This window comes from Homo sapiens, chromosome 10, assembly GCF_000001405.40.
Source record: "Homo sapiens chromosome 10, GRCh38.p14 Primary Assembly".
In the NCBI taxonomy this organism is placed as follows: Eukaryota; Metazoa; Chordata; class Mammalia; order Primates; family Hominidae; genus Homo; species Homo sapiens.
Window position 1 is genome coordinate 46004330 of NC_000010.11, and position 26349 is coordinate 46030678.

At 41.2% G+C, this 26349-nt stretch overlaps 1 protein-coding gene across 5 annotated transcripts, besides 6 other annotated features; it reads right to left on the reverse strand.

Moving 5' to 3' along the window:
• Positions 759-26294, reverse strand: NCOA4 (nuclear receptor coactivator 4). 5 transcript variants are annotated; one of them, NM_001145260.2, is made up of 12 exons: positions 26197-26294; positions 23103-23199; positions 12211-12365; positions 10797-10937; positions 10525-10613; positions 10115-10223; positions 9221-9310; positions 8554-8697; positions 5894-6877; positions 5082-5222; positions 4795-4883; positions 759-2268 (listed from the first exon to the last, which is right to left on the reverse strand). In NM_001145260.2, the coding sequence occupies exons 2-11, from the start codon at positions 23134-23136 to the stop codon at positions 4818-4820; spliced, it is 1953 nt and encodes a 650-aa protein (NP_001138732.1). In that variant the 5' UTR covers positions 23137-23199; positions 26197-26294; the 3' UTR covers positions 759-2268; positions 4795-4817. The 5 variants fall into 5 exon arrangements, with proteins under 5 accessions (NP_001138732.1, NP_001138733.1, NP_001138735.1 ...); NM_001145261.2 differs by lacking the exon at positions 4795-4883; NM_001145263.2 differs by lacking the exons at positions 4795-4883; positions 23103-23199.
• Positions 17268-17463: a silencer, noted in NCBI's record as "fragment chr10:51574030-51574225 (GRCh37/hg19 assembly coordinates)". NCBI's record gives its function as "represses an EF-1alpha promoter that drives an FKBP-Casp9 reporter gene in an ReSE screen in K562 erythroleukemia cells {active_cell/tissue: K562}" and the evidence as "EXISTENCE:reporter gene assay evidence [ECO:0000049][PMID:32094911]".
• Positions 18990-19284: an enhancer, noted in NCBI's record as "tiled region #5969; K562 Activating DNase unmatched - State 1:Tss". NCBI's record gives its function as "activates a minimal TATA promoter and a strong SV40 promoter by Sharpr-MPRA in K562 cells {active_cell/tissue: K562}" and the evidence as "EXISTENCE:reporter gene assay evidence [ECO:0000049][PMID:27701403]".
• Positions 18990-19304: a biological region, named in NCBI's record as "Sharpr-MPRA regulatory region 5969".
• Positions 19135-19304: a silencer, noted in NCBI's record as "silent region_2349". NCBI's record gives its function as "represses an Ori minimal core promoter by ATAC-STARR-seq in GM12878 lymphoblastoid cells {active_cell/tissue: GM12878}" and the evidence as "EXISTENCE:reporter gene assay evidence [ECO:0000049][PMID:35858748]".
• Positions 25820-25909: a silencer, noted in NCBI's record as "silent region_2350". NCBI's record gives its function as "represses an Ori minimal core promoter by ATAC-STARR-seq in GM12878 lymphoblastoid cells {active_cell/tissue: GM12878}" and the evidence as "EXISTENCE:reporter gene assay evidence [ECO:0000049][PMID:35858748]".
• Positions 26270-26339: an enhancer, noted in NCBI's record as "active region_3324". NCBI's record gives its function as "activates an Ori minimal core promoter by ATAC-STARR-seq in GM12878 lymphoblastoid cells {active_cell/tissue: GM12878}" and the evidence as "EXISTENCE:reporter gene assay evidence [ECO:0000049][PMID:35858748]".

Below are 26349 nucleotides of genomic sequence, written 5' to 3' on the forward strand. Positions count from 1 at the left end.
TTTTTTTTTGAGACAGGGTCTCTGTTCCCCAGGCTGGAGTGCGGTGGTACAATCTCAGCGCACTGCTGAGATTACTTGAACACCTCCCGGGTTCAAGTAATTCTGCCTCAGTCTCCCAAGTAGCTGGGATTACAGGCACTTGCCACCATGCCCAGCTAATTTTTGTATTTTTAGTAGAGGCGGGGTTTACTATGTTGGTCAGGGTGGTCTCGAACTCCTGACCTCAGGTGATCCACCTGCCTTAGCCTCCCAGAGTGCTGGGATTACAGGCGTGAGCGACCGTGCCTGGCCAAGAGCTAGATGTTTTTCAAGGAAGCCTTGGGAAAACTAAAGGACATGAGGCCAAATTGTTTAATTTCTGAGTTTGTTTTCTCATCCACCATATGAAGTTAATCATGTATAATTGCACTACAGGTTATACACATAAATATTACTGTATTAAATACCTGGTGGCTATATGATTGGAGAAAGTAAACTAGGGCCTCTTCGGATGCATCTAGTAAGAGGAATCCAGTAGAAAGGCACTGAATCTTGGCTGAAGTCCCATAGGTTTTTTTTTAATAGATGTGAATAGTTTTTATAAAAGACTGAAAATGGAGGTTAATATACCTATTGTTTGCTAATTTTTCATAAAATACACTGATGTTATTTTTATGTTCAAGCTGTTTCTCAGCTGGATTACTAACCAAAAGTTACCACGTTATGTGGTACCACACCACACTTTGTGACAAATAGTTTTAAAAATAACACGCAACAACTATGGCTGTTATGCTTTTAATGGAAGCAGATACAAAATTCATCAATGCAAAAGAATGTTTTACATACTCATTAACATAGTGATTAATGTAAATTATATTTTGACTTGTAAAATACAGTGTGTTTGGCCTCAAGAAACTACAGAGCTGCAACTCAAGATAACTGGAAAGGCTCCTTACATTGTTTTTGCCCACCACCTTTATATAATACTCCTAAATGATATCTGGGGAGGGAATTAAAAAATAATACAAAGCTCTTTTCAGCTGTGGTTCAAAGAACTCTAGTGAAGCTGTATGGCAATGACATTTTGGGACCATGAAGTTTCCCCAGAAGTATTTCCGGTAAGAGGCAGTTAAGAAGCTTAATAGTTTCAAAGTCTGGAAAGCAGCAAAGATATCTTAGAGAAAACATTATAAACCCCACTTCTCTCCTACACAGACATTTTAAAGCATGGACGTAACTTTAAGGAGACTGAGAAAACATCAGTAGTTTTCACAAAGCTTCAATGAACACCCCAAGGCACAAGTGTTGAAAACGGCCTGTTCACTAAAACGTCACTTTTGGAGGTACAGGTATGCTGTGCTTGCAGTGAGAGGATGACTTTATCCCTACTTAAAAGCACCAGGTGTCAAGCTCAGCTTCCATTTACACAGGATGCACCAATTATCCCTATGATAGTGACTGTTTCAAGTACTATACTACATTTCCAACATGTCTTTTGCCTATTTGCTTAGTCGGTACTGGGGTTCTTTTAAGCCCCGTAGGTCTGTAGAATATTTTAAAAGGCTAGAATTACCTCAAAAATAGTCTTGAAATAATACTGAGTCCTTCTAAAGAGCTCACTGGATATTTTAATAACATTTACAGAAAGACAAAATTTGCAGTAGCTGAGTTTAAGTGAAGAATAATGTAGAACTAACGTGGGCTAAAATGTTTCATAATTAATGTCAAAAATTGCCAAGATTATTAATATATATTTTGGTAATCACTATTGACCAGGTTAATTTTTTTGTGCAAAATACACTATGTATTAATAGAACAGGAAAATAATTATTTCAGACCACTAACAAAAGAAAACCCACAGCAAGAGAAGCATCTGTAGGGCAATTAAACGTTAGGGAAGTTTACTAGCTTTAGAATACATCAATATACTTCGATAAACAAGAGTGTTTTAATGTACTTTTAGTAACGACCCAATCTAAGGAGCCTTGGAGGCTTGTGAAAAAGACGTCCACAAAGATGCTGCATTTCTAGTGTGGGGTGAATTAAAATACTTCTGTAAGAAGGAGGGAACTGAATCACCTCAGCATGAATAAACAGCATTTTTCTTTTAAACAGTAACTCATAATCTGATGACTCACTTTGCTTTACTAGTTCAAAATTAGGCAGGAGAAGAACTAAGCTAATTGGTCAGACCCAGAAACACAAAGATTTGGCAAGCTGCAGTCACTCAGCTCATGATGTGTGATAATCAGCAGAAAGGCTGCTCAACTCTTGTCCATTCCTTCACATCTGTAAAGAGACACCCACAGATGATAAGTTACTTCAATGAAGAATAAAAGCAAATTTTCCCTGCCTTAAAGCTCCGACTCATTTCCCAATACAGGTATACCCTTGTTACATTGTATTTTTTACAAATTAAGCATTTGTGTCATGAACTATGCCCATTAAAGATGGTAAACTTTTCATCAATAAATGTCCTGAATGCCCACCAAACAGCCTTTCCCTATTTCTCTTCTCTCTCCTCAGGCCTCCCTGTTCCCTGAGACAAAACAAGATTGAAATTAGGCCAATTATTAACCCTACAATTGCATCTAAGTGTTCAACTAAAAGGAATAGTCCCCATCTCTCACTCTTCTTTAAATCAAAAGCCAGAAATGATTAAACTTAGCGAGAAAGTCATGTTGAAGGCCACGAGAGGCTGAAAGCTGGGCAGGCCTTTTGGACCAGCCAAGCTGTGAGCACAAAAGCAAAGTTTTTTGTTGTTTTTCAGCTTCTCATTCTCTGGCTGAAAAGTTCTTGAAAAAAACTAGAGGTGCTACTCCAGTGAACAGATGAATAATTTAAAAAGCAAACAGCCTTATTTCTGATATGGAGAAAGTTTTAGTGGTCTCTATAGGAGATCAAACTAGCCACAACATTCCCTTAGGCCAAAGCGTAACCCCAGAGTAAGGCCCTAATTCTCTTCAATTTTATGAAGGCTGAGAGAGGTCAGGAACCAGAAGTCATGTTTGAAGCTAGCAGTGGTTGGTTCATGAGGTTTAAGGAAAGAAGCCATCTCCATAGCAAAAATGCAAGGTGAAGTAGCAAGTTATCCAGAATATCTAGCCAAGATCGTAAATGAAGTTGGCTACACTCAACATTTTCAGTGCAGACAAAACAACTTCCTATTGGAAGAAGTAGTCATCTAGAACTGATAGCTAGAGAGATAAGTGAATGCCTGGCTTCAAAGGACAGATGGACTCTCTTGTTAGGGACTAACACAGCCAGTGACTCTTTTTTTTTTTTTTTTTTTTTTTTTTTTTGAGACAGGGTCTCCCTCTGTCAACCAGGCAAGACCGCAGCAGAGCTATTATAGCACACTGCAGCCTTGACCTCCCAGACACAAGATTCTCCCACCTCAGCCTCCTGAGTAGCTGGGACTATAGCACGCTCCACCATACCCAGCTAATTTGTTAATTTTTGTACAGACAGGGTCTCTGTATGTTGCCCAGGCTGGTGTTAAACTCCTTGGCTCAAGCAATCTTCCTACCTCTGCCTCCCAAAGTGCTGGAATTGCAGGCCTGAGCCACTGCACCTGGCCACTGGTGGCTAAGTTGAAGCCAGTGCTTCAATCCTAGAGCCCTTGAGAATTATGCTAAATCTACTCTGCCTGTGCTCTAGAAATGGAACAACAAAGCTTGGATGACAGCGCACCTGTTCACAGCATGGTTTACTGAATATTTTAAGCCCTCTGTTGAGAACTACTGCTCAGAAAAAAACATTCCTTTCAAAATACTACACCCATTGACAGTGCACTTGGTCACCCAAAAGCTCTGATGGAGATGCAGAAGGAGATTAATGTTTTCATGTTTGCTAATAAAACATCCATTCTGCAGCCTATGGATCAAAGAGTAATTTCAACTTTCAAGTATTATTTAAGAAATACATTTTTTAAGGCCCTAGCTACCTAGGTTCCTCTGATAGATCTGGGCAAAGTAAACTGAAAACCTGGAAAGGATTCACCATTCTGGGTGCCACTAAGATCATTCATGATTCATGAGAGGAAGTCAAAATATCAACATTAACAGGAGTTTGGAAGAAACGGATTCCCACCCTCATGGATGGCTTGGAGGAACTCAGGACTTCAGTGGAGGAAGTAACTGCAGATGTGGTGGAAACAGCAAGAGAAGTAGAATTAGAAGTGGAGCCTGAATATGTGACTGAATTGCTGCAATCTCATGATCAAACTTAAACGGATGAGCAGTTGCTTCTTACGGATGAGCAAAGAAAGTGATTTCTTGAGATAGAATCTACTCCTGGAGAAGATGCTGTGTATTGTTGAAGTGACAACAAAGGATTTAGAATATTAAATAAACTTAGTGGATAAAGCAGCAACATGGTTTGACTCCAATTTTGAAAGTTCTACTGTGGATAAAATGCTATCACACAGCATCACATGTTAGAAATATTTCGTGAAAGGAAAAGTCAATCGATGCAGCAAACTTCATTATCTTATTTAAAGAAACTGACAGAGCCATCCCAACCTTCAAGCAGCTACCATCCTAATCAGTCAGCAGTAATCAACATCAAGGCAAGAACCTCCAACAGCAAAACGATTATGTGTTAATGGCTCAGATGACCATCAGCATTTTGTAGTAATAAAATACTTTTTAATTGAGGTATGTACATTGGTTTCTTCTTAAGACATAATGTTATTGCAGACTTAACTATAGTGTATTATATACAACTTTTATATGCAATGGGAAACCAAAGTATTTGTGTAGCTCTCTTTATTGGGATATTTGCTTTATTGCAGTGGCCTGGAACCAAACCCACCTTCGAGGTAGGTATATAAACTACTAGAATCCACATGGGATCTGAAAATTCCCAACGGTTACATCTTGAAAGTTCATTTTGAAGTATGCCTAGTTAGTTAATAAAGCAAATTCAATTAAAATACATCAACTTTTTATGAGCTCCCCCGTCCCACCCTCACTTGCCTAATATACATACTATTAAAAGGGATATGGTTCAGTGAGCCAAGTATGACTTCATATGTAAGACAAAACATTTATTTTATAAATAGCTATAATCTAATTTTCATGCTGGTGGCATGTACCCACCTGTAGAGGAGTTCGATATAACCACTTCTCTTTATCAACTTTAAGCTGCATACAGGCAAAGAGATCACAAACTGCAGGGAGGCCATAATGGTCTGGGGGGAAGTTATGTTCCTCCTGTAGAGGTGAATTAAGTAATACTTCCTGCAATAAAAGAAAAGAGTAGGTTGCTTCATGAAAACAAGGAGGCATGAGACCAACTTATCTTCCAAATAGGGTCTACAGAGAATAATTTAAATGTTGGCCATTCTCTGTAACAACCAAAAACAAAGGTGACAATTGTTATTTCTACCCCAAATATTTTCCATAAATAGCAATAAAACAGGCTAGATTCTTTTCTTTCCTGAAGGATGGGGCTTAGGCCTGGAAAATGCACAAAAAAATCATAAATCCTCCATTCCAAATTTAGTATTTAACATATTTAAGGATCTGGCTGGCCGGTTTGCAAGGTTTGGGATTATGAAATATGAAACTCTAGGCTGGGTGTGGTGGATCACGCCTGTAATCCCAGCAGTTTAGGAGACCAAGACGGGCAGATCGCTTAAGCTCAGGAGTTCAGAGACCAGCCCAGGCCAAAACCCCATCTCTACCAAAAATACAAAAAATTAGCCAGGCATGGTGGTGCACACCTATGGTCCCAGCTACTCAGGAGGCTGTAGTGCGGGCAGGGGGATGGCTGGAGCCTCGGAAGGGGAGGTTGCAATGAGCTGAGATCGCACCACTGCACTCCAGCCTGAGTGACAGAGACCCCATCTCAAAATAAATGAATAAATAAATAAAACTCAAACCAGTGCTATTTTGATGTTTATGCTCACCTGGGCCTTCTTTCGAAGCAGCCACTTGTCTTCTCCAGAAGATAACTGGCTGAGGTTGCCCATCTTCTTTCCTGGCAGGACCCAGTCAGCTGTGTTAAAGGAACACCAGGAAGTATTCATGGGGCTTTTAAACTTCTGTTTGCCAGCTCTGTCTTCAGTACCAGGCACTTCCTTGGGACTTCCTTCTTTGTATGGGGGCCTGATAAGCCACTCCGACAAGGGGCTGTTCTTTATGACTTGGAAGGAATCAGCAATTCTAGAAGGAGTCATTGCCTTTGGTGCTTTAGTTTGTTCTATTACTTCTTTTCTAGGACAGAGCCACATATTCAGGGAATCTTTATGCTTCTCAGGCTCAGGTTTGGGTTCCACAGGCATCCCATTTTTATCCTTTCCTTCTTTCTTCAGAAGCCACTTATACAGAGCCTCCTTCTCACAATTCTCATCACACACACACTCTGCAAAGCTTGTGCAGGGCTCATTGGCTCTGCACACCTCCTCTACCTTACATGGGTCCTGATGGTTCTGGACAAGCCAATCCTCTGTAACCATGCTGGGGGTGGACAATGGTTTCTTGGCCTCCAAGTGGTCATTCAGGCACTTCAGATTGCCCAGGTTTTCAATCTCCACACCTTTGGGCTGGTTTCCCTGACAGTTGGTACAGGAGTCAGTCTTGACAAGCCAATCATTCACATTATAGGACTGGAATAAGAGCTTAAACTTCTCACTGGTTTCACGACTGCCATTCTCAGGCTTCCGCAGCTTATGGGATTCCTGGGGAGTCACTAGCCAATCTGATAGGTCCATCTCATCTTGATCAGGAAGCTCTTGATCTCCAACCTTTTCCATTTCAATGGAGAAAGAACTAGTAGTGGAATGGCTGTTACACTTTTGATAACTTGATTTTTCACTCTTGAGGAGCCAGTTTTCTAAGCCCTTTAGGTTTCCCCCGACATTATTGAAGAAATTGCAGGCTCTGGAAGAAGTCTACACAAAAAGTACACAGTATTAGTTTGCCAGAACAATTATGACTGCTTTGGAGATTCTGTCTGCACTTTTTCTTTTTTTGAGACAGTCTCACTCTGTCGCCCAGGCTGGAGTGCGGTGGCACAATCTCAGCTCACTGCAAGCTCTGCCTCCCAGCTTCACGCCATTCTCCTGCCTCAGCCTTCCGAGTAGCTGGGACTATAGGCGCCCACCACCACGCCCAGCTAATTTTTTTTTTTTTTGTATTTTTAGTAGAGACGGGGTTTCACCGTGTTAGCCAGGATGGTCTCGATCTCCTGACCTCGTGATCCGCCCACCTCAGCCTCCCAAAGTACTGGGATTACAGGCGTGAGCCACCACGCCCGGCCCTGTCTGCATATTTACTGTCTTGCCCAGTGTTTTGAAATTTAAGTACACAAAGCCAAAAGGCAAGGGATTTCTCTATTTAGATACTCTTATCTGATAGAAAAGGGTGTAATATGCCTTTACAAATAAAGCACAAAAAATAAGCAAAGGATATGATCAGGCAAGTCATCAAAGAAGCCTAATAAACATGAAAATACTTGGCCGGGTACGGTGGTTCACGCCTGTAATCCCAGCACTTTGGGAGGCCGAGGCAGGCAGATCACAAGGTCAGATAGAGACCATCCTGGCTAACACGGGTGAAACCCCGTATCTACTAAAAAATAAAAAATATGCAAAAAATTAGCAGGGTGTGGTGGCAAGCGCCTGTAATCCCAGCTACTCAGGAGGCTGAGGCAGGAGAATGGCATGAACCCGCAGGACGGAGCTTGCAGTGAGCCGAGATCCCACTACTACACTCCAGCCTGGGAGACAGAGCAAGACTCGGTCTCAAAAAGAAAGAAAAAAAAAAAAAAAAAAAAAAAAAAAAAAAAACGAAAAAAGAAAATACTCAACCTCCTTACTAATGGAAGAAAAAACAAAAGCAAAATTGCTATTTTGTGTCAAATTCAGAGCAAAAAACCTAAATGACTATTACTCTTAGGTTTCAGGGAAGCAGGTACCCTGAATATTCTGCTGGTGAGACTATAAACTGTTGGCAACTTCCTGGGAAGCCAAATTGGCAATATGTATCCAAAGTCTTAAAGCGTAAGCAGAATTATAATCTAGGAATGCAATTTCTATAAATGTACTCCTAAGGAACTAATCAAGAATGCACACAAATAATTGGCTCCTGGATGTTTAGGGAATCCTTTTTTATATCCAGAAAAACTTGAATTTAAATTACAGCCAATCAATTATATACTACTAAATACTTTACAGAAGAAATTAAATGACAGAGAAATATGTTAATGTTATCCTGGTGAAAAAAAAAATCTACCTACCGAAACAGGACTTACAGAATGGTTCTTTTAAAATATGTATGTATAGAAAACTGAAGTATATAAATACTTCACTTTTATTGTTACAGTGTTTTTCTCTTTGTGTTGAGATTATGGGTTTGTGGGCTTTTTTAATATAAAATTCTTTATTTTTAAAATTTTCTATGATAAAGAGTTCCTTATTTTCTAAACTTTCTATGATGAAGAGACTATTAATAAATATGTTTCCAGACTGCAACCAAAAAGTTAACAATGACACATAGTACTACTGATTAGTAACTAACTCCACCTACTGCTGTGTCTACTGTAGAAACAATAAAAGCAGCAACAGACCTGACTGTTCTCCAAGGTCTGCTTTTGGGTAAGCCAGTCCTGGGGGTCGGTGCTGGGTATGTAAGGAGCTTGATAACCACTGGCAGGTTTGCTTCCAAGGAGCCATTCGCTGAAAGGGACAGCTACAATACCGGATGCTGACTTCTGTTAATCACAAAACAAGGAATGTCAAATGCAGTAGAAAGTTCACCAGAAAAAGAGAAGAGCCACTCTCTAATCTTGGCTTGCCACTGACCCTGGGCAAATCATGTGCCTTCCAAGAGCCTCAATTTTCACAATTATAAAACAAGAGACACACAGCTGATCTCTAGGGCTCTTCTCAACTAAAACATATAGAAACCTTTATTCACATTGCCATTCCTTTAGAAATAAATCATCTCTACAAATTATAAAGAGGATCGCTCACAGAGAACCAGTATCAGTAAGACAGCTAATGATAATTTCCTGTGAACTGATTGATAATTACTTTTTCTGTTAATCAGCCCCGACAAGACATCTAAATTTCTATTTGGCATTAGGTCTCAAGGGAAGCATTCAATTTCATAAACTAACTCATTGCCACTGGTGCCTTTTTACAAATAGTAGCATTTTTTTAATGCTATATAAAACCCAAAGGAAGTATAAGCCAAGTAATGACTCAATTACCAAAAACAAAATGATATTTTACCTGCTCTGGCATGGAGATACAGCCTCTCTTCTCCAGGAAGGGCCCAATATTTGCTGAACTAGCATGAGCCATCAAGTGCTCAGGAATTTGCTACAAAATAGAGATAATTTAATCATGTTATTTATGCTATGCTGCCAAAAAAGTGAAATTATAATTCCAAATTTCAAAAATGTTAAAGCATTACCATTTCATTAGAAATACTGTTCACACTAAATTCCATGACTTACAAAGTAGTTATCAAATTTGAGAATACTCTACCACATAACTATTATATAAAAAATCTTTACCAGAATTGGTTGTATTACCACTTTTAACAAGACCCAAACGTTTCGTTCTTTATTAAAAACTATTCAAGCCATAAATTTTACAAAAAATATTTCAAAAGTATTTAGAGAGATACATGAGGCATTCCAAAGAGTATCACTGAGTCTGTACTACATTCCAAGAACTACCAACCTAGGCAACTTAATCAGAATATGAATTTTTTTTTTTTTAGGCGGAGTCTCACTGTTTGTCGCCCAGGTTGGAATGCAGTGGCACGATCTCAGGTCACTGCAACCTCCGCCTCCCAGCTTGAAGCGATCCTCCTGCCTCAGCCTTCCAAGTAGCTGGGATTATAGGCGCCCAGCTAATTTTTTTGTATTTTTAATAGAGATGGGTTTTCACCATGTTGGCCAGGCTGGTCTTGAACTTCTGACCTCAAGTGATCCGCCCTCCTCGGCCTCCCAAAGTGCTAGGATTACAGGCGTGAGCCACCACGCCCAGCTGAGAACATGAAATTTTTGAAGCTAATCAAATTCTCAAGAAAGTCACTATTCATAGCAATTTTTTTTAAGACCAGCTGTGAGGCCACAGATATGAGAAGTGCCCAGTGAAGCATATGAGATTACTCACAATGGTTTTGAGAGACCCAAATGTGGTGATGGTCTGGCGCAGAGTAATTGTGTCAGCTTCAAAGAGCAGGACAGTTGAATCTTCAGGCTTAAGGGTCAAACTGCCCAGTCTGGGGAAAAAAAAACAAAATTGGCTATTTTTAAGGAATATCTGTTTCATCAACTTCATCTAAAACAAAAGCCAAATTGTGAGTAATTTTAAATGATTACACTTCTCTAAGAAACTCAACCAAAGATAGATGGCTTATTCATGTATCAGCAAGTATAATATTAAATACATGAAGCAGAATGATCTTATCCTAGCAACACAGAAGTTAAATATAACACAAGCAATGAGTTACAAAATCGACTTTCTTTTAGTATACCAAAGTTCAAGAGTCAAAAGTTAAAATACGCAAAAAGGGTCATTACCTCTCCAGGCACACAGAGACTTGATTGGCTAGATCTTTGTTTTGGGTACACTCCAGTTGATGAGTAAGACAATTGAACTGGCCCAATAACTAAAAGAAAAATGAAACCAACTAGCCACAATGACACCAAAAGCACCAGATATACTCAAGTTACCAAACAGCACTTGAGATTAAACTTCTATCTGATCTATATTAACACTGCATTACAAGGAAGATACTCTCTGGCAACCAGAAGCCATGCTCAAACCAATTCTAGCCATGCAGTCACCTTACCGAGTAGAGCTGCTGAGCCTGCTGTTGAAGTGTCTCCTCTTTAAGCTGATAAATAAGGTCCACCTGTTCATACAGCCATACCTCACGGCTTCTAAGACATTCCAGGTGACGGCTTATGCAACTGTGAATCTGAGCTTTGACCTAGGAAACACATACATGTTAGCTTCCTAGTGTTAATCCCAAAGAATGATGTTTCCCAAAGAATAGTGAGTTTCTAAAACTTTTTTTGGGGGGGTGGGGTTGGGGGGACCACAAATCCTTTTAATTATCCAATGACATCTATGAAGTATCTCCCCAGAAAAAATGTATATTTTCAAGATTTTACCTATAATTTCAGGGTTTAGTGTTCCAAAGCCCACCCAAGGACCCACTAAAGCCCTATGGACCCCAATTTAAGAATCCTAGCCATAAAGGCATACCTAAACTCTAAAATCCTTCTTCAATACCCAGCCTTCTAAGAGGATTAGGTTTAATTTGGGTGTCCTAATCAAGAGAAAATACAAGAATGTACCAGGAAATACTGACCCCCTCAGTTTTCCACATAATTTAAAAACCTACGGTTTTACAAGTTTATCAGCAGAATAAAGACAGAGTATTAACTTAATAGCTAGCCCCTTATCTCTTTTCTCACCCCACAGAATGAGCGGTCCATTTACAGGAGGCCAATTTAGTAAAGAGATGTGCCACCACATGTCAACAGCTAAAAGACCATTAGGGTAGACAATTTAAGTAAAATTATAAACTAATATTTCTGGAAGCATAAACAGTGATTCAAACAGGGCTAAATATAAAAATCCCAAGGGAAAAAGTCAAAACAGGCCATAAATTATCCGTGACAATATACATAAGAAACTGTATTTTAAAACACATTTTTTTCTGTTTAATAAAGTTGTGTTTCAAAGTCATGTAATACTTGGTCTAACACACACAACAACAAAATACTACTGGAACCAACAACAGATTTCACTCTGGCTTGCCCTAACAGATAGTCATTTACAGAACAATGCCATTAACCAGCTAAAAGATGATGGGGAGGATGCTCAAGTGCATCCTTCATGCAATCAAGAGGATGCAGCTGAGAGGATACTGCTCACTCATTTCATATTTTTACTGGTCACAGTGCCTGAGGAATCACACAGAGGAGTAATCAAAAATCTAAGTAGTTAGTAATCTAAGTAAGCTGAATAGAATTTTCTAGAATGGCACAGGGTTTTCCAGACTCTTCTAGCATCTGCCTTATTTCCCCTTGGGATGAAAGGCACCAGTATATCAGGCAACTGACGGGGACCAAGTAGACCACGCAAGGCATGGGGTGAAATTTTTTGCTGGCACGGAGAGACCAAGTCCTTGGCCATGCTCAAATCAGCCCTGTGTCAAGAGTCCAGACAACAGAAGAGAAAAGCACATGTCACACCTCTCGCAAGTTATCTTTAATTTGCTGTTCAGCCCGGAGAACTCCACCAATAGCAAGCTCCAAGTCCCTCCGTGCATCACTACACCTCAAAAGGGGTTCTCTATTACTGGAGCTGCCACTCTGGTCTTGGAAGGTATTCATTCTCCTCACTGCTCCTTTAAAAGAAAAAAATATATATAAATAGCACCATAATTACAACCAAAAACCACCTTTGAATCATCCCTCAAATGATCATTCCAGCCAACTCCCATTACTAACTACTTAGATTACTTTCCAACACCAAACCTAGCACATAAGATACTCTTAATAAATATTGTCTCCTCCCTTCCCTCTACCACTGTTCCTGCCATAAAACTCTATAATCTACTTTAGTGACACTTTACATGTGAATAGCTATTTCTGGAAAAATACACTAATTGTCCTGAATCAAAGAGCATACAGTGTCCTGAAAAGTTAAAAGAACATTAGAATATCATTTTCTATTTATAACACACATATAGTCATATGAGGCATGTGTTCCTCTTTGTAGATTTAGAGATGAAGACTAAAAGGTACAGAAGGATCTTTGATTACTTTCAAAATAAGCTGCAAACAATCAAGTTTAGAACACTTTGTTTAGAAGACGGAATTTTTAATTTCCCCCTTTTAGGTAGAACTTTTTTTTTTATTTAGGAAGAACTTAAGAATGACTTCACAGCTAGGAAGTTCTCAAAAATATAACATAGGGCCGGGCACGGTGGCTCACACCTGTAATTCTAGTACTTTGGGAGGCCAAGGTGGGTGGATCACTTGATTCCAGGAGTTCGGGACCAGCCTGGGCAAAATAGCCAGACCCCGTCTCTACAAAATATAAAAATTAGCCACATGTGGTGGTGTGCATCTGTAGTCCCAGCTACTTGGCAGGCTGAGATGGGAAGATCACCTGAGCCCAGGAGTTCGCAGCTGCAGTGAGCCGTGATTGCACCTGCACTCCACCCTGGGTAAGAGGGTGAAACTCTGTCTCAAAACAACAACAAAAAAGAATATAACAGATATAGAGATACATGTTTTATATAGAGAGAATATATGTAATATATAATATATAAAAGAATGTGCATTATATGTAACAGATTATATGTGACAAAATGATTTCATGATTCTCATATAAAGGAGACACAGAAATTGGTGTGGGTAAATACAGAGTTCTCTAAGAAGCTTGGGTTTAGGAGCGAAAGGAAACACAAATGGGAAGAACAGCATATAATGATAAAATGAGACTGTAACACATGAGTGTCAGTAAAGCCATAACGTAAAACTTGACAAAAGCTACTGCAAGAACAATGACATGATTTTTAAACACTGAGAAAATGACAGCAGTGATTACTAGAGCTCAGAATAGGTTCACTAAGCCTTGTGATACCAGTTATTTCCTTTTGGATTGTTTTACTAAACTGGCAAGTCAAGGTAATGCTGTAGACACAAAGGGATGACAGAAGACTTGTGGCAAGACTATATGTTATCACTGTGGAAAAAGTGAATATTAGCTAAAGAGAAGCACAATTAAACTGAATAATAAGATTATTTTTTACAAAATACTCAAAGGATGACAGACTAAGGCCAGTTTGTAAAGTTTTGAGAGGCACATCCCTGTTTTTCCTAATTACCTGTATGAAAACACACAAGACAAACATTAAAGCTGGAGGTAACATGGGGCTGTGACAGAAACAGATCCCAAAACAATCTCTACATAGCTGTTCAATTTTACAAAACAAAATGTAAGTTTTTTCACTTTAATTAGGGAGGGCAAGGAAGAGAATAATTCCTTTTTAAAGGGTGGAAATTTTTAACCGAAAGTAAATTCTCTATGAATTCGCAGTGTGCTGGGTCTGTGGGAAAAAATAACTTACACACTATTTGACTACATTTACCAAAAGTATAGTGTTTGTCACAGGATTAGCCTGTTCCATGTTTATTAGACTAAATTCAAAACTTATTTCTGAGTAACACACTTTAGAAGAGGACACTTAGAAAAGGGAGAGAGGCCTCAAAACCATGAAACACTTCTCCAGGAAGGAAGGCTGTTTAGCCTAGATAAGAGACGTCTCCAGGAGGACATGATTACCATTCTCAAGTATGTGGAGACCTGTCAACTAGAAGAACTAAATTTGTTTGGAACAGACACAAGGGGGTAAAAAACATTAATAGGAGGCATGTTAGGCAATATATCAAATAACTTCCTAACAGTCCTGAAAGCAATGACTTTCTTGGAGAAGCCAGCTTTGGGGTGAAAAGTGGCCTACCCAGTGTAGAGTCCTCCAAGTGGCTTGACTGCCCATTTCAGACAAAGGAACTTTGCCAGGCCTTGACTGCATCTTTAAGACTAAGTTTAGGGCCAGGTGCCTAACTGAAAGCTGGCTAGAGACAAAAGTGGTGAGTTCTTCCCTCAGAAATAATGTATTCTGAGGGAAGTGGGAAGAGCAGCAAAACAAACTTTCTGTACACTATCTCAGCAAAAGACTCAGATTCAGGAACTAGAGTTTCCACAAGAAACTGAACAATTCAGGAAATTTTTTAACTTCCCCTTGCTGATTTTGTTTCGTCAGTCTCTTTTCTCCATAATCATCTATTAAAAAGAAAGGGCTGCCTTAATTGGATTTCACAGAAATCCCTGTGGAAATTTTTCTAACCCTGGACACACCAACAGTGGTTACTTTGCAGCCTCCTTTTGCATGCCATAAGCTGCCTGTGTTAGGCAGAAGCATTAGTGTGCACTTGGAACTCACTGCAGGGACTATGAAAAATACCTGTATCACATGGGTGAAATGCCGGCTCCGATTTGGAGAGCTGGAGCGTGATGGGCTGCTTCACTTTGCACTTAGGCCAGTCATGCAAGACCTGTTTAGCAGTCTTTCAAATGTGTTACCCAGCCTTCTTCACCTGTGCCAAATTTCTCACTTTTAGCTTCTCACCATTTGTGTGGAATGCCACAATGCCTGGCACAGTGTAAAATTGAATCAATAAAATTAAATTGTTGCTTCACAATGTCAAAACTCCAGAATTCCGGAACATACGGGAGACAAACTCAAATACATACAGTGCTGACTGTATTACTAGATTCCTAAAGCAAGTCCTCTCAATTCAATCACAAGTATTAATATTACACAATAAGAGTAGACTACAGCAAGAGTTCACACATTGGACTTTGCCCTTATCAGCTATAGACAGAATGTAGGATGAGATTTAAAAGTTACAAAACTGATTTTTCCACACACAGTTATCACATTTTTTTCAAATTAAAAGGAGTGTTATCCTTCAAAAGTCATCTTGAGAACTCATCTGTCAGCCACGAAGAAAATCTGTTTCATTTCTTTATGGTAAGTCCCAGGATGCTTGCCCCTTTGCTGCCTTTGGCTCTCTCTGTCCCTCCTCCTCCCTGTGGCGCAGTTAGAGCACTGTCAGCTTTCAGAGCCCAGATGCCAAGAAAGGAGCTATGCAAAGGCTTGCCCTCTTGCACTGTGATGAAGAGGAAGCCTTCAGAGCGGAAATGAAGAGCCCCAACCATGGGTGAATTCAAATCACAATGAGCCTAAGCCAGCTGTACGAAATGTTACATCCAAAGAGACTTGTATGAGGTAACTAGTTCACATGGCCATTTTCAACAGTTATTCACCATTTGTTTCAGGTTCAAGAGCCAGAGTAGCAAGCATGACCGTTAAGAGGTCACTCTGGAGTCTGACAAACCTGAGTTATGGCTGTGTCTCCAAGCTTGAGACCCCTGAGCTAGTAACATAATCTCTCTGGGCCTCAACTTCCTCAGGAAAAAGGGAGACAAGGATGGTTGCTACAGAGGGGCTGCAGTAAGGTTAAAGTGAGATATTATATGTCTACCGGCACTTAGCCTAGCACCTGCACACCGTAAGCCCTCCACATTGCAGTGGTTATTGTTATCAGGTTTAGCTGACAGGCTGTGAACAGGACCTGACAGAATCCTTTAGCCATTTATCAGGGCTATGACCTTGCACCATTTGCCCTTGTGGAACCTAACTTCCTAATTCATATGTGAGGAATATAGACTCACAGACTTAGGGGTAAGGAGGTCGTGCTTATTTAATAAATATTAGATTTCCATCTAGTCTTTCACTATACAGCACAGCAAAAGGCAATCTTTTATTTACTCCAAAAACTCAATAGTCTAAATCCTCTAATATATACCAAGTATGGATATTTTTGACTGTTTTCTTACGTGTAGAAAGATTGGACCAAATCAGCTCTGATCCTAATATTCAAATCAATAAAAGATTACTAAAAATGTCTTTTTATCTTCACCATTATAATCCAAAATATTGCCTTGCCATCTTCAAAAGAGGACTGCCTTAAATGTTTATGTTTTGAGACAACATTAAAAGTTTAAGTGCTTTCTAAAACTTCCCTGCCTCTAGTATCCCTGTCCTAAATTTGGGGGTGGAGGAAGTAAAGGAGGAGGAAACACACATACCCTTCAAACGAATAACAAAACCTGGAGTTTCCGCAACAAGGAATTCTTTAAACTATATATGCCATGCTTACACAATGCTTTGCACAAATCTATTTGTGAAGTCTGAAGATCATGGCACCAGAATTGAGCAACTAACCACAAATGAAGTGGTTATGTAATGAAGCTAAGTCATTACTGTATGGCTTAACCATAAAATTTCCAAAGAGCTTTAACTCTTGTGACCCACACAAACTACAATTTAAAGCTGAAAAATAGCTCCTCACAAGCCTCTTTAAAAAAATAAAAAATAAAGCTGGAAAAAATCTTGGTCATCTCTTTAATATAACACTCTCATTCTACATATGAAGCCACAAAAGCCCAGATAGTTTAAGTGACCCATCTGAAGGGCCACAGCCAGAAGGGGTAAGATTTGGGTTTAGAACTACAGTTTCCAAGGTCTAGTCCTGGGTTCTCTCTCCCAGATGAGCTTGTTCTTCCTTTAGTGTATTATCACCTGTAAAGTATTTTTACTTGCCAACACTAGTGATTAAAATTAACATTCCAATGGATTACTATTGAAATAACTTCCGTTAAGATTTTCAGTCAATTTTCATAGTCCTCAGTAAATTATAACCACAATTGTTCAGAATCTTCTGCCTTGGATAACACTAACAAAAATAGTACTGGCCGGGCGCGGTGACTCACGCCTGTAATCCCAGCACTTTGGGAGGCCAAGGTGGGCGGATCACCTGAGGTCAGGAGTTCGAGACCAGCCTGACCAACATGGAGAAACCCTGTCTCTAATAAAAATACAAAATTAGCCGGGCGTGGTGGCGCATGCCTGTAATTCCAGCTAATCGGGAGGCTGAGGCAGGAGAATCGCTTGAACCTGGGAGGCGGAGGTTGCAGTGGGCCAAGGTCGCAGCCATTGCACTCCAGCCTGGGCAACAGGAGCGAAATTCCATCTCAAAATAAATAAATAAATAAATAAACAGTACCCTTGTATGTCATGATAGGCTCAGAAAAACCAAAACACTGCCAAATACCAATGCAAATAGTTTTGATTCAACGTCTGTATCACAGCCACTCCAGGCTTCATTCGTCTGTAAGAATGAAAGCTCAGACTAGATCATCTGTAACCTCACCTTCCAACTCTCACATTCTCTGCCCCCCTTGCCACCTGCCCCTGCCCCTCCAAAGACCTCTACTTTTTACTTATTTGCCTGGCATCCTAGTCATTGCTAAAAGGCCAAGCGCAGCATCTATCCACAGGATACCTATGTGTTCTATGAGTACTACACTCGAAATACTAACTGAACAATTTGGTTATCTTTGATGAGACAACCTGCATTAGACCGTCTGTAAAGCTTTTAGTTTAAAAAAATTATGTTAAAAAATATTTTGCAATTTTACCTTGAGACTTTTTTCACTTCACACGTTCTTTCTTCCGTCTTTTTTTTAAAGGTTGGTTTTGGGTTTTTTTTTTGTTTTGAGACGGAGTCTAGCTCTGCCGCCCAGGCTGGAGTGCAGTGGCGCGATCTCACTGCAAGCTCCACCTCCCGGCTTCATACCATTCTCCTGTCTCAGCCTCCCAGGTAGCTGGGACTGACTACAGGCGCCCGCCGCCACGCCCGGCTAATTTTTTTGTATTTTTAGTAGAGACGGGGTTTCACCGTGTTAGCCAGGATGGTCTCGATCTCCTGACCTCGTGATCCGCCCGCCTCGGCCTCCCAAAGTGCTGGGATTACAAGCGTGAGCCACCGCGCCCGGCCTAAAGGTTGTTTTTTATACAACTCATTAACTCAAGGATTATATACATCTTACCTTAGCCCCAGCCCATTTTAAATTCCTTATCAAGACAAGCAGTTTCTGAAATCCAGAATCTGGTTCTCTGTAATCTTTTTAAAACCACACAAACAAACGTTAATATCGCAACAGATTTAAAATAAGATAATAATAAATTCACTATTGAACATTTTAAGATTTAACACTTCAGAGTTTACTAGGCTCAGATTTGTCCACCTTTATACAAGCAACTGAGGGCAATAAATCCCAGCACATCAATTTTCTAAAGTAGTAACTGAAAACCGACCGCAAGGCATTTCTAATTCGAAAACAAGGCATTTCTAATACGAAAGCAACAGTGACTCATGCGGCTTTCTAGACTTCCCAAAAGCCCTTTCCAAGCGGCCTCAGGAGCCCTTGCCCTCGCCCCGGTCGCCGATTCGCACGCAGTTGTGCAGTCAGCCGCTGCGACCCGGCTCCTGCCCGGCGCCAGCCCTGCAAGGCTACCGGCCTCAAGGGCTCCCGCTACGGCCCCTGGGCTGCCAGACGTACCTCACAGGCCAGGTCACCGACTCACCAGCTGCCCGGCAAGCGACAGGCTGCTTTACCCCTGACCCGAGTGCGAAAGGTCCCCGAGCCCGGGCCTCGTCCCGCCCACGCGTCACACGGCAACTCCAGTTCGCCCGGGCCACTAGCGAGCTGGAGCGCTCAAGCCAAGGGCGGGGAGGAGCGGAAAACTCCGCCCATTGTTGCCCTGCTCCCAGCCAGTCCCCGCTGGCGCTCGCGGCCCCCCTGCAGCTCCCTCCCCGCTGGGCCTCCCTGCTAGACGCCTGCTGCCCCCGCCCGGCCCCCAGGGTAAGGCCAGCTAGAAGGACCTCGGATGGCACCTGGGGCTCCTCTCCAGCCTCTCCTCTCCCCACTTGCTCCACCCGATAATGGGCCCAACTCAATGAGAATTATATATGAACTATAATGAATTACATGAATTAAAATGTTTAGGACAGTGCCTGGCAATATAGCCCTACCTACCTGTGACTATCATGCTTATGGTACTTCTAGCTTTCCCTTTTCTCCAAGATAATCCTCATAGCCTGCATATGCAATCAGGCCAAAAGATGAAATCTAGACAATGTTGTAATTCTATTACCTTTCAGTCGATTTTTTGAATGTAAAATACTTGCTGTTGTCTATGCATATAAAGCTGTTTTTGTTAATATTAAGAGTAAAGCAAAATCACATGAGAAACACCAAAGGGGAACACTAAGGAGCCATTACCCTAAATTAAGTATCCCTTAGATTTCAGATGAACAGAGTGGAAGTGCCTGCTTTGTCTGTGATGCATACAATTTCTGGGACCCCAATCCAGGCATTCATTATCAAAAATAAGAAAATTTCTCCCTAATTCCAAAAGCCCTCCTTGGATAATACATTTCGTAAAGACACAAAAAAAACAGACATACTTCTGAATGACTAAAGTTACAATTTTATGGTCCTTTGTACTAATTTACATCAATGGCAACAAAGAAGGAATTCTATTAAAATATAACTCATGTCAGGAACTTTCATCTATTTTATGTGCCTCTGAAAAATGGCTGATCACAATGTAAATACAAAGAAACTTTGTTGGCCGTCACCTACTTAACCAACGGTCTCTGTTCTCTCTCTAAAAGATCCTGACCAACGCCCCAGCACAGTAAAGTCTTCAGCTACTCCCCTATGTATATGTTCACTGAGTTTCACAGTTATATTCATTTGTGTTTCTCTCCTCAAGCCAGCTGTAGCTGTTACTATAATGATGTGATTTATTAAATATTACATAAACATAAAAAGACTAAGGAGAAAGAAAATCACAAAAATCTAAAATTCTGCACTCAGACCACTTTACATGTAGCTTTTTACTCCCTTATGCTTCAGTATTTGCCCTTGTGTCTTTATAAAATGTTTAGGTTCTAAAGGGGAAAAATGCATAAGGTATTTTACCTCTCTTCTGCTTCAAGAATTTCTATGCTGTCTCAAAACAACAACCAACCATCCCAAGTAGATCATCTCATCTAAAGCAGCGTAGCTCTCCTATGGCTCCCCATTTGCCTACAGGATAAAGTCCAAATTTCTTTTAAAGGCAATAAGGCTCCTGAGTTAGGGTTCTCCAGAGAGATGGAACATTATATAGACAGACATAGATATAGACATAAAGATATATACAGATATAGATATGAGAGGGGATTTATTAGGGGAACTGGCTCATGTGATTAGCAGGCTGAGACATCCCATGACAGGCTGTCTGCAAGCTGGAGACCCTGGGATGCCAGTACCATGGCTCAGTCCAAGTGCAAAGGCCTCAGAACCAGGAAAGCAGATGGTGTAACTCTCAGTCTGAAGCCAAAGGCCTGAGAACCCAGGGGGCCAATGATACAAGTCCTGAAGCCCAAAGCCTGGGGAGCCTGGAGTTCTGTTGTCCAAAGACAGGAGAGGAAGAATGTATCCCAGCTCCAGCAAATAGATCTGCCTTTTCAATGTTTTTGTTCTCTCTGGGCCCCAGCAGATTGGATGGTGCCCACACACACTGAGGGTGGATTTTCCCCACCTAATCCACTTGGATTCACACCCCAATATCCTCTGGAAACAGACACACCCCAAAATAACATTTTACCAGGTTTCTAGATGTCCTTAATCCAGTCAAGTTGACACCTAAAATTAACCATCACAGCTGTCTATTTCCTGGCCTCACTCTGACTCTCCTGCTGTCTCCCAGAACAGCTCCCACACCCTAATCTACTGGACAGCTTTTCTATGCATAGGATAGTTTGGTTTATCTTGTGCAGCTTGGCTATGCCAGTTCTGTCAGCAATGCCAGTCTCTCCTCTTCTCCCTACCTATCTGCTTTTCAAGTCACCATCACTAACTACAAAGCCTTTCCTGACTGAGCACCTCACTCCTCAATACTTTTGGCCAATAGAGTTGGCTGCTCCCTCCTGCATTACCACTGTAATCTGTATGGGTTTCCGGCAGGACGCCTGTAACATATGTTACCCTATTGTTACATGCCTGCCTCCTTAGCCTGAGGGCTCCATGAGAGAAGAAACCATGTCTTATTTATGAATTAATAGCTTTGTACATCCTAATACTAAGCAGACAACCTGGTATCAGTACCTTGTCATTACCAACCGTTCACATTCTATGTGTGCCACTGAATCGACATAAAGAGAAAATGTCCCTGGCAATTGTACAATGCTTCACCCTAAATTCAACAGAGGCCTAAGACATTTTGGACAAACGGATGAATATATGATAAATTAATGTTTAGGTTCAGACTAGCCACAGTAAGTATGGTATAGTTCTGCTTTAAACATAGATAATCAACTTGATGTCCCACTAAGGCCTGTATTAATGCAGGAAGGTTTTTTCAGAGAAAGAAAATGTTTCTAGCACAACTATTACTTTTGGCTTTTTTCAAACAAGACAAAGCTGGCAAGGGTGTTGCCACTGAAAGTATGATCCCAGAATAAGTGCTGAGATAGTGTCTTTCCTGCTGCCAGAACCACAAAGCTCAGCTTCATGGATTCACACAAATAGCAGCAAGATTGTGGGTTAAAGGGGACACATTTACTGTATTTTACAGCCAACTCTGGATTTTTTCTTCAGAGTTGGCAGTACCACAGAAATTCTAACTGAATTTCAAGTTGAATATTGGGGGGACTATATTCAACTTGAAACTTCTTGCCATAATAGAGTCAAGGATAGGAAAATATGTTAACTTACCTACTATCACAGTAATAATGCCATTTTATCCTGATTTTATATGGCAAACACTTTGTGGTTCTCCCCATAGAAGCCAACAAGTGATAAAATATTAATATTTTCCCTCCTTTAAAGCCTAGAGGACTAACAATAATGCCAAAATAAAGCTCAAAACACACCTGAGATTATCTTCTTTTGAAAGCTGAAATTGTCTCAGTATTAAAAGACTTAACTTCTCACCCATGACCAAACTGACAACAAAACCTTTTAACCTATTTTGTGAGCTACTCACTACTTCACTGAACCAAACTGCCATATTTGTAGAGCACTTAGGTAATGCTGCATAAGAGGAATATTAAGCCCCAAAGGTGCCCCCAAACACACTGCTAACCCCAAAGAGGAACATCTTGATTAATCAAGCCAAGCAAAATTAGGGATGACAACTTGGGATAAGAATGACTAAGAGTGGTCCGGGCGCGGTGGCTCACGCCTGTAATCCCAAAACTTTGGAAGGCCGAGGCGGGCGGATCACGAGGTCAGGTCAGGAGATCAAGACCATCCTGGCTAACACGGTGAAACCCCATCTCTACTAAAAAACACAAAAAATTAGCTGGGCGTTGTGGCGGGTGCCTGTAGTCCCAGCTACTCGGGAGGCTGAGGCAGAAGAATGGCGTGAACCCGGAAGGCGGAGCTTGCAATGAGCGGAGATCGCCCACTGCACTCCAGCCTCCTGACAGAGCAAGACTCCGTCTCAAAAAAAAAAAAAAAAAAAAGAATGATTAAGACTTAAGACTGTAGTCATTCATATCAGAAGTTAAGCATTGCAATGTTATGATTTAACAATCAAAGAAGATAAGCTAAGGACAATATGGCAGCTCCTCTAACTGACATGCATGGAGATAGTATTAATGCCTACCAGCTAGAGCAAAAGTGGTCAACTGGGCCCCCATTCCAGCCTAGACCTCCACATTGTTCATGTGCGTTCTATGTTGAAGCAATGTGTCCAGACATAACTGTATGAAAACAAAGTCAAGATGAAAACCTTGGATGAAAATTTTAAAAGGACTAAAAAGTAGCAAGAAGAGTAATAAAAAATGCCATGGCCTTCTACAGTTCTTCCATGAAACTGAACTTAACCCAATGCATACATACTGGTTGGGTGGTCTGTTATCGACACTTTAGGCTTGCCTTTGCAACCTAACCAGTATGTGAACAGAGGCAGTGAATTCACTGCTGATTTCAGTACTGCTTGAGAAAGTGCTCTCTGAACCAGCAGCACATTCCACTGTATATCCTAAAGAGTGACAAATCTTCATTTTCTGAGGCTAGGTATACTTTCTTGGAAAGATCTGATGACTAATATATGTAAAGCACTTAAAATAGTGCCTGATGCACATTAAGAGCTATAGAAGTATTACCTATTTTTATTACTTTTAGTCAAAGAACAGGATATAACAAAGAAAGACATAAAGTTCATCAATTTCATTACCATCATCTCTCTCCAGGACTCTTGCAGAAACCTCATGACTGCTACCTACTCTTCCCCTCTACCCTTACTCTTCTCCTCCTGCTGCTCCTTTAGCTTAACAAGGATGCTTCTGCCTCAGGGCCCTTGCGCTTTCCTCCAGGTATCCTCGAGCCCAGGCCTTCACTTCCTTCAGGTGTCTGCTCAGAGGTCATCTTCTCATTGAGGCCATTCCTCACCATCTTTTATTTTTAAAAGTCTTGCCTCCAATCCCCCTTAATATGCTTTATTACTCTCCATAGTACTAACCACAGTCTGGCACGTAGCAACCATTTATTTTCTGATCTCCCTTCAGAAAACATACTAGAAGGTAAGTTCCACATGGCGGGGACTTTGTCTTTTTGTTCACTGTTGTATAGTAGGTGTTCAACAATTAATTACTGAGTAAATGAATTCAGTAAGTATTTACATCTAGTCTACTATGTGCCGAGCCTTTTTTTAAAAAACTCACTATCTCAATTAGCCCTCATTAAAGTGGCTATTATCATCACCATTAATTAAAAAAAAAAAAAAAGCAGACTTGACAAGGTTAAATATATTACCTACAGTCACAAACTCCCAAGTAGAAGAGCCAAGATTTAATCCCAGATCTGAGTCCAAAGTCCCTAACCACACCTGGTATGTTGAAGGAATCATTAAGTATTAAGGTATTATGTATTCATCCAACAACTATTTATTGAGTACCTAAACTGACACTACTGTGATAGTCCCTGAGAACACAATGGTGAGCTTGCCACCTAGAGGAGAACTCGTGTCATAGATTCACCAACCAAGCAGAAAATACTAATTCTTTGAAATAAGAGACTGAGTTCAAAGTCCATCAGCAGCAGCAATGACTGGCTCTGAATGCTAACACTATGTGAGGGAAAGTATTATAAAACACTAACTTAGGGACTCTCAACCGGGGGAGGGATATGTGTCAGGATATCCTATGGAGTTTTATGAAACCCCTACACCGGATCCTGAGATTCTGGCACAGCTATACTGATTTAATAAAAAAAAAAAAAAGGGGGGGGTGAGGGGTACTATGTAGTTCTAAAATATCTTCTCTCCCTTTGAGAAGGACATCTTCCTCCCCTTCCATAGCTCAACATGTTTTTCCATTTCCGAAATGCCTGTTTGCACAAAGGTAATAATGTAATTGTAGAGATTTATTTAGATAAAAACTACCACAAAACTTTCAAAGAGTAGGATTTTCCTTAGAGACCCAAGGACAAAGGCTCCCTGGAAGGCAGGAAAGGAGAAAATGAAAGGAACGTTATTGTGCTGGACTTTACATACATAATCTCATTTACTTATCTGAACAAATCTGCAAGCTAGCAAATCTTCAAATGAGAAAACCAAGTAAATTGCCTAAGCCACTGCATCCTTAGGGTAAGTCTTTCTCAAACGGTCTCAAGTACTTTAAAGTTTGGAAATGTCACACTAGGATCTCGGTATAAAAATGGGCCAACTATGACTTCCTGTGCCATCCTCATTCCAATAAGTAACTCAAGAGTCTCTATAAACTTAGTTCCAAATTACCAAGTGCGTGGTGGAAAGCTAAGTCCATCCAAAAGGCAATTACTGTGGTGAACCCGACCCTGATTAGAAAGTGACACAAAAAGGCACAGTTAAAAGTAAAAAAGCTCTGCCTTTGGGGTCAGATAAATTCAGCACTCTGACTTCTGTCATTCTACTTCTGCCATTCTTGATGGCATCATTCCATGTTAAATCCCGTGCCACGTAAGATTATGATTATTGTTTTCCCCACAACAAGAATTTAGTTCCATGAGAATTAGGTGTCCATTTTTTTCATTGCTATCCTCAACATCCTGAACATACAGGCACCAAATAAATGATTGCTGGTGGAATGAACCAATGAATGAGCAAGCCTTACTCTTCTCAGCTGTAAAACAGAGATAATCAAGCTACTTTTCGGGATTATTGGGAGAATTAAATGTGACAGTATGTGTTTGGCACACAGAGGGCCAAAAAAACCCAATATCTTCTTTGCATTTCCACCTGACAAGCTAGAAATGGATTATGTTCTGTGCCCGTCCGGCAAAACAGACCTCGCCTCGCCCCACATCCAAGCAAGAGGCGAGAGAAACAGGAAACTTGGAGCTGTCACACCTAAAGAGAGGGGAAGGCCGGCGGGGAGCAGGAGGTGTCCGAGCCGGGTGTGAGGAGGGTCGGGGAGGAAAGGACAGGCCCACGGCCGGGCACGAGGAGGGTCGGGGAGGAAAAGACAAGCCCGGGCCCGGCGTGTGGCGGGAAGGCGAGAACGTAGGCCCGGGCCCGGCGTGTGGCCGGAAGGGGAGAAGACAGGCCCGGGCCCGGCGGGCAGGCAGGAAGAGGTGCCCGGGCCTGGCGTGTGGAGGGGAGGGAAGGGAAGGAGAAGGCAGACCGGTCCCGGTGTCGGTCGGGTCGGGAAGGGGCGGACAAGCCCGGGCCCAGCGGGCCAGCGGTCATCGAGCCTCCACCCGGCCCACAGCGTTCTTACCAGGTCCGAGTGCCTCTCCAGGCGATCCGAGGAGACCTTGGGTGGACTGAGACACGGCCCCACACTAACCTACGGCCCAAAGGCAGAGTTCTCGCGACAACACAATCTTCCTCCCACACCTCTCGCCATACGTCTGACAGTCTCGCGAGATCT

Bases quoted from the DNA above. Each gene is read 5' to 3' on its own strand.
- NCOA4 (NM_001145260.2), bottom strand. From the start codon at position 23,136: ATGGGGGCCCAGTTGACCACTTTTGCTCTAGCTG. The intron at 10,614-10,796 runs GTAAGGTGACTG...TTTTTCTTTTAG, and splicing joins AGGCTCAGCAGCTCTACTCG to TTATTGGGCCAGTTCAATTG. The intron at 8,698-9,220 runs GTAAAATATCAT...TGTGATTAACAG, and splicing joins GTATCTCCATGCCAGAGCAG to AAGTCAGCATCCGGTATTGT.